Raw genomic sequence first — 8801 nt, 5'->3', positions numbered from 1 at the left:
CAATACTTCGGGAGGCTGAGGCAGGTGGATCACTTGAGGTCAGGAGTTCGAGACCAGCCTAGCCAACATGGCAAAACCCCACCTCTACTAGAAATACAAAAATTAGCCAGGTGCTGTGGCACATGCCTGCAGTCCCAGCTACTCGGGAGGCTGAGGCATGAGAATCACTTAAACCTGGGCGACCGAGGTTGCACTGAGCTGAGATCACGCCACTGCACTCCAGCCTGAGCAACAGAATGGGACTCCATCTCAAAAAAATATTAATTAATTTTAAAAAATAAATAAAAAGCAGATAAATTCCAAAAATCTTAGGTAATGAAGCAGAAGAAAAGAACATGGATCAGTACAGTGTTTCTAATGAGAATGAGGAAGTAGGTTTAAAAAGGATTTAACTATAAAACTACAACTTAATTATTCAAACATATATTCTATGGCAGTCTCTATGGATGGGCAACTGGTTCTACGGCATGATTGGGGAGTACCAGCAAATTGACTCTCTTAGGAAAGGAATCAAATCCATCTCCACTTGCTATTACAGTATAGTGTCCTGCGTTAATTTAATCAACAGACATAATGAACCTGCTACAATGCAGGGACCCAGCCTAATAAATGCTAATAACTGACCAATGCCCTACTCTCAATATGAAGTTTCTTCTCTTTAATGTCTCTCCTATCTGCCTACCACTGGGACTGAAGTCTTATTAAAAATGAATTTCAAGTTGTATATGTGTGGGAGATGGACAAGCAAAGTGAAAACAGAACATCTTTGTGTATGTGAGGACCTCCAAGACAACGATGCAACTTGCAGGCTCATGCTCACATCACCCTCATTTTGCTGGTGTGCAATACATTGTCTCTCTAACCTCACCCAAATAGCTGTTTTTAAATTTGGTTTTGTTTTAGATATCAGGCACAATATGCATCACGGGATGTGGGAGATATTAAAATCCTAGCATTTGCCCCTGCAAATTCCTCTTATTTTCTCCCATTCCCAGTGTGAACCTTTACTTCCAACTCAGCCAAAGGTGAAAATCTTAGTTCTTTATTGTTTTCTTTTAAATAATTCGTACTTGGTGAGATATGCAGTTTTTGGAAAAAAACAAGAAAGGAACTCAAATAAGGAGAAGACTTATTTTTATAGATTTGCCAGTGTGGGACAATCGTGCTGGAGCTTGGGCAGGACTGAGCTGCTGAGGGAATATCGACTACAGGGACCAGGGGAACCCGCTGGACGCCACCCAATGTCCAAGGCAGGAAGGAAGAGTCATTATGCTGCCTTGCCCCTGGGAAATGAGTGCAAAAGCCAGTTTAGCTACAGAAAGGAGGGTTGTTTCTTCCTCCTCTTCCTTCTCTTCTTCTTAAAACAACCTTTTCCTAACCAAGGACTCAGAGAGGGTGGAACATGTTTTCTCTCTTCTGGTTAGAAAAACAAATACCAGTGCTGCGCCTCCAGCTTCTCTTTTCTGGTTCATCACAGAGGCCTGTATCTGCCTTGCTCAAGGAGGAGAGAAACTGCCATGCCAAAGGCCCTTCATCACCTGGTTCATTCCCAGTCTAATTCTGTTTCTAGGATAGCTAGCCCCCATCCTCAGGCCTTGGCAGGGAAATACCCCGCTTCAAAGCATGGAACTTTGAATGTTGCTGAGCCCCCAGGACTTGCACTTTATCACTCTGGGGGTATTTTCTTTGAATACAATCCAGTCTCAGATTCCCACATCCCAAGAAGCTGCTCTCTGTCTGATGGAACAGTCTGTAGCTGTTCACTGTGAGCCCATCTTATTTTGTTCTTTTCATTATGGAATGTTTTCATCAGGGGCCTGTGAGTTGAAAAGGCTTCATGCTGAGTAAAAGGGTGGCTTTGTCTTTCCCCCTTTCCTGACCTCTGTCAGGAGTTCTTTCTGGGCTCCACAGAAGACATAATGGGAGAAATGCTGAGAGCTGTACTGATGGAATATTGGGATTTGCAAAGAAATTCCTGTCCAGGCTGCCTGGTTATACTAAAATGTCATCTCTATTTTGGATGTGACTAGCTTGTTTAGTTAATGCTAGAGGGGAAAACAGAATTTGTTCTCAAGAGAGAGAAGCAGAAGGAGGAAACAGGCATACAGACAACTGACAATGTTCCAGCCACTTTGTCACAAATAACTAAATCCACCGTTATTAGGATCCAAAGATTATCAGTCAATTTGAGTCCTATCAGCATGATGTTCGGCTCCAGCAAGGTGGCCAAAAGCCTCCTCAATATAGAGATCGAATGCTAAATTCATTCTGTAACTCAGATTCTTAGGAAGGGAAGTATGTTTCTTAACATTTGTTATTAATTATGTCTCAGGCACTGGGCTTGCTGCTTTATGTTATTTAATTGAATCCTCACAACAACTTGGAAAATAGGTATTATGCCTTGCATAATATCTATGCATGGATGGATTTATTTATTTTTATTTCATTCACATGACTCTTTTTTTTTTATTATACTTTAAGTTCTAGGGTACATGTGCATAACATGCAGGTTTGATACATAAGTATACATGTGCCATGTTGGTTTGCTGTACCCATCAACTCATCATTTACATTAAGTATTTCTCCTAATGCTATCCCTCCCCCTCCCCCCACCCCATGACAGGCCCCAGTGTGTGATGTTCCCTGCCCTGTGTCCAAGTGATTTCATTGTTCAATTCCCACCTATGAGTGAGAACATGCGGTGTTTGGTTTTCTGTCCTTGTGATAGTTTGCTGAGAATGATAGTTTCCAGCTTCATCCATGTCCCTGCAAAGGACATGAACTCATCCTTATGACTGTATAGTATTCCATGTTGTATATGTGCCACATTTTCTTAATCCAGTCTATCATTGATGGACATTTGGGTTGGTTCCAAGTCTTTGCTATTGTAAGTAGTGCCACAATAAACATACGTGTGCATGTGTCTTTAATGTAGCATGATTTATAATCCTTTGGGTATATATCCAGTAATGGGATTGCTGGACCAAATGGTATTTCTAGTTCTAGATCTTTGAGGGATCGCCACACTGTCTTCCACAATGGTTGAACTAATTTACACTCCCACCAACAGTGTAAAAGTGTTCCTATTTCTCCACATCCTTTCCAGCATCTGTTGTTTCCTGACCTTTTAATGATTGCCATTTTAACTGGAGTGAGATGGTATCTCATTGTGGTTTTGATTTGCATTTCTCTAATGATCAGTGATGTTGAGCTTTTTTTTCATATGTTTGTTGGCTGCATAAATGTCTTCTTTTGAGAAGTGTCTGTTCATATCCTTTGCCCACTTTTTGATGGGGTTGTTTTTTTCTTGTAAATTTGTTTGAGTTCTTTGTAGATTCTGGATATTAGCCCTTTGTCAGATAGGTAGATTGCAAAAATTTTCTCCCATTCTATAGGTTGCCTGTTCACTGTGATGGTAGTTTCTTTTGCTGTGCAGAAGTTCTTTGGTTTAATTAGATCCCATTTGTCTATTTTGGCTTTTGTTGCCATTGCTTTTGGTGTTTTAGTCATCACATGACTCGTTCTTACTAAGTCAGGCTGCTGCTTAAATGTGTCCTTTAACAAGCCTTTCCTGAGCCCCTGACCCATAACCACAGTGCCTGTCATTCTCTGTCTTATTCAGATAGCCCCTTTGATACTGTTACTGTCTGGATGAATTCCTTATTCCTATTTGTTAATTCTCTCTTCAACTATGTTTAGTCTAGAATCTATCCCACTGAGTGGCCCCCTGCCCCTTGTCAATGGCTGCATTTTTCTTCTCCACGGTTTTTAATTTTTAAAACTACCTGTGCTTATTTTATCTGTCCCTATTTGGTGGCATATATCTCTTTTAAGGATGTAATTTATTTACCCATCTCTTCAAGGATTTTAAATGTACATATTTTCAAGTCTTTTTTAACATTTAAAATTTTGTGTCTTTCTAGAAAAAACTCATATTGCAATTATTGATTTTATTAGCTATCTTCCTTGGTGTAAGATTTCCTCATGTGTTTTAAGATCGAGCTTCTAAGGTCATCATGGGCAGAAGGTTTACCTCTGCCTCTCTATTTTTTTTTTCTCTCTGTCTGTGCATCCTCTTTATGGGACTTGTGCTTGAGTTCACTCTAGGCACTAAGCTACACTCCAGGCAGTGGTTATCAACAGATTTCCTGGCCTCCTCTCCCTAGCCAGGAAAACCCTGCCATGGCCTCTGGGTGCAGGTCCTGAGCATGGCTCTGGTTCCCCTGCTTCATGTGGAGCCCTTTTACCCTGTGCAGCCTGTCTACCTGCAGAAGTCAAATTCACATCTGCTATTACCTACTCTGAGATCCAGAGCTCAGCAGGCCCTCTACTCGTTGTTTTGCATTTTGACTCTGTTCCATGGACACGTGTATCTCATTTTTGGGGCATGGCTATGACTTTTAAATTCTCTTTTATATGTTATATGTTATCACGCTGTGTGTTGGTGCAGAGAGAGCTTCAAAGCAGTCATTAAAATGCCATCAAATTAGACGAACAAAGGCTAGAAACTAGGAAAAATATTTATAGTGGGCTGGAACTGAGGAGTGAAAAATGGACGATTATGTATAGGTTGAAAGAATAATTAACCTGAAGAATTATTGAGTTCAAATATCATGGGTGAGTTTATGTGCAGGAACCTCAGTTATTAAAATGGAAAGAAAAACCATAAAACTAGGGTTGGGTTGAAAGTCCATAATTTCTCAGTTCTTCCTTTCTTTCCCAAATTCCCTCTCTCTTACCCCCTTTCATGTTGGTAACTACCCCTAGGGTGACTAACCATTCTAGTTTACCTAGGACTGTCCTAGTTTTAGAACTGTAAGTCCTGCTCTCTAGGAAAGCTCTCAGTCTTAGGCAAGCCCAAACCCAGGTAGTTCAAGTAGCCTCTCTGTTAGTAGAAGGATAGATTGTACCTTGGTCGAGGATGAGTAGAGAGGTAAAAAATGAATTATGTGTGGGAAAATCTATGGAACAAGATAAAGGGAACATCATCCCAAAAACTCAGAGGAAGAACATATCTCTGAAAATGTTTTACTGTAGGAACAGAAGATTTGGAGAAATGTGTGACATCCTTAATAGACAAAAAAAAAAAAAAAAAAAAATTAACAGAAACCCAAAGAAACAACTAATCATCCCTGTTTGACATGATCTCATATGTAGAAAAACATAGTCTACTCAAAAAACTCTTACAACTGATCAATTCAGCAGAGTTGCAGGATACAAAATCAACATACAAAAAGCAGTAGCATTTTTTAAACATGAACAACAAACTAGGTGAAAAAGAAATCAAGAAGGCAATCCCATTTATAATAGCTAAGAAAAAGAATACCTAGGAATAAATTTAACCAAGGAGGCAAAAGACCTCTACAAAGGAAAACTACAAAACACTGATGAAAGAAATTGAAGAGGATACAAACAAATGGAAGGACATCTTGTGCTCATGAACCAAGTGAATTAATATTGTTAAAATGACAATACTACTCAAAGCAATCTACAGATTCAATGTAATTCTTATCAAAATACCATGTCATTTTTCACAGAATTAGAAAAAACACTCCTAAAATTTGTATGAAATCAAAAAAGAACTCTATAGCCAAAGCAATCCCTGAGTAAAAAGAACAAAGCTGGAAGCACCACACTACCTGACTTCAAAATATTACAAGGCTCTGGTAACCAAAGGAGCATGGTATTGGTATAAAAACAGACACATTGACTAATGAAACAGAATAAGGAACCCAGAAATTAATACATGTATTTACAGCCAACTGATTTTTGACAAAGGTGCCAAGAACACTCACTGGGGAAAGGATATTCTCTTCAATAAATAGTTCTGGAAAGACTGGATGTTCGTATGCGGAAGAATGAAACTAGACCTCCCACCTCTCACATTATACGAAAATCAACTCAAAATGGATAAAAGATTGAAGTGTTAGACCCAAAACAATAAAACTACTAGAAGAAAACGTACGGGAAACACTTTACGGCATTGGTCTGGGAAAAGATTTATGAATAAGACCTCAAAAGCACAGGCAACAAAAGCAAAAATTTTTAAATGGGATTATCTTCTACACAGCAAAGGAAACAATCAACAGAATGAAAAGACAACCTACATAATGGGAGAAAATATTTACAAACTACTCGTTCCACAGGGGATTAATATCCAGAATATACAAGGAACTCAAACATCTCAGCAGAAAAAAAAATCTGATCAAAAATAGGCAAATGATCTGAACAGACATTTCTCAAAAGAAGACATACAAATGGCCAACAAATATATGAAAAAATGCTCAACATTACTAATCATCAGGGAAATGCAAATCAAAACCACAATGAGGTATCATCTCACTCCAGTTAGACTGGCTATTATCAAAAAGACAAAAATGACAATGGCTGGTGAGGATGAGGAGAAAAGGGAACGCTTATATACTGCTGGGTTTTTTGTTTGTTTGTTTTTTGAGGATCCCCCATACCGTTCTCCATAGTGGCTGTATAAATTTACATTCCCACCAACAGTGTATAAGAGGAATGTAAATTAATACAGCCACTATGGAGAACGGTATGGGGGTTCCTCGAAAAACAAAAAAACAAACAAAAAACAACTACAAAGAGAACTACTGGTAGTCAGTCTAAAAATCCCACTACTGAGCATTTATCCAAAAGCAAGGAAATCCGTATTTTGAAGAAGTAGCTGCATCCTTATGTTTATTGCACTTTTCACAATAGCCATGATATGGAATCAACTTAGGTGTCCAGCAACAGATGAATGGATAAAGAAAATGTGGTATATATCTACAAAAGGGAATACTATTCAGCCATAAAAAGAATGATATCTTGTCATTTGCAGCAACATAGAACTGGAAGACATGTTAAATGAAATAGGCCAGGAATAGAAAATTAAACACTACATGTTCTCACTCATATGTAGAAGCTAAAAAAAAAAGGTGATTTCATAGACGAAAAAAGTAGAACAGAGAATCCTAGAGGCTGGTAAGGGTAGGAGGAAGGGAGAGACAGGGAGAGATTTGTTAAAGAATACAGAATCACAGATAGAGAGGAGGAATAAGTTCCAGTGTTCTATACCACTGTAGAATATTTAACAATAATGTATAGTTTCAAATAGCTAGAAAGAGGATATTGAATGTTCCCAACACCAAGAAATAATAAATGTTTGAGATGATGAATATGCTAATTATCCTGACTTGATCACTATACATTATATGTATGAAAACACTATGTACTCCATGAATATGTAGTTATTATGTGTCATATTTTAAAAATTAAATTTTTAAAAAAGAATGAACCATAGGACTTTTGAGTGCCTTTAACTTCTGAGTGTGTATCAGGCAGCAGGACTGCACTCGATGCTGGAGTTCGGCGATGGCTAAAGCACAGCTCCTGACCACCAGGGGCTCCCAGTGCAGTGATCCCATTCCAACATCAAGACTTATTCCAAATTGAATTCTAACCATGAGCTATGATGTCATGAGGTCCTACTGTATTTAAACGTGGTTTTTAGACAAAGTCATTCTATTTTGGAAAAAAATTAAATTACAATCTCCTAAGTAAACAAAGCAGAGAGTGCACAGAGAAATAGAAGCCAATGAATGCTTTCTTGAGCTCTGGGGTGTTTGATGCAAGATAACCCTTCATCATTTAGAAGACATTTCTTCTTGCTTATAGGGAAGTGATGGAAGGTGCCCAGGAAGAGAGGTAAAGGAATGACAATGAAGGCTACTCTATCCAGCATTCATCTCTTGGGTTGAGCTGTGAGCTCCATGAGAACTCAGATGAAATGACTTTGCACCGTCACAGGAACTTGTCAGGGAAGCTCACCATTGTCTCTGATGTTAACAACTGTTGATCCAAGCCTGCCCAGTTTCCTACCTCCAGTCTTCCCTGGCCCTCCTCTGAAGATGGAAACTAAGCCAACAGGCTCAGAACTTCCTATCCTCTCTTCCTATCTCCAAGGAAATAGCAGCTCACAGCAGAAGAGTGCAGGGGGAGAGGGAACAGTTATTTCTCAAGCCATTAATACAGTTCTTCTTACACGACTCTGCCTCCTGGCCCACAGTGATGGACCCATGGTTGGGAATGGACCACACAGTGGGCCAGCTGTAAAGCCTGGGTAAGGGATGGACATCTGACCCAAGTAGGGACAGTGCAGTACGTGCTTGGAATTGATGACCTAGGGACCAAAGAGTAGTGCTCATTGTCTCTTTGTGGCGGGGTTAGCAGCTCTGAAGTCATCGGGATGGCGTTTCCCACCAGATAGAGGAAGCTGGCCTGTAGCTGAAGGACTGACACCCACACCCAGAGCTGCAGAGAGAGGGGGGCGTAACAGCAGCATGCCAGATCCATTTCCAGCTCTTCTGAGGTGCAGCCACACCTTGACCTTCCTGCAGTCCTCTTAGCCTTCCAAATACATTTTCCTTTGAGTGTAAATGAGTTTAAGGTAGGTATTGACATTTATAACCAAAAAATATATACACACTAATTGTTATACCCCTTTATGTGTTTTGGTTTGTTTTGAGACGGAGTCTTGTTCTGTTGCCCAGGCTGGAGGGCAGTGGCGCAAACTCAGCTCACTGCAACCTCTGCCTCCTGGGTTCAAGTGATTCTCCTGCCTTAGCCTCCCAAGTAGCTGGGATTACAGGTGCCCGCCACCACATCTGGCTAATTTTTATCTTTTTGGTAGAGATGGGGTTTCACCATGTTGGCCAGGCTGGTCTCAAACTCCTGACCTCAAGTGATCTGCTCACCTTGGCCTCCCAAAGTGCTAGGATTACAGGCATGAGCCACCATAC

The sequence above is a fragment of the Homo sapiens genome, chromosome 1 (genome assembly GCF_000001405.40).
Source record: "Homo sapiens chromosome 1, GRCh38.p14 Primary Assembly".
NCBI classification, from domain to species: domain Eukaryota; kingdom Metazoa; phylum Chordata; class Mammalia; order Primates; family Hominidae; genus Homo; species Homo sapiens.
This window is presented reverse-complemented; position numbering follows the sequence as displayed.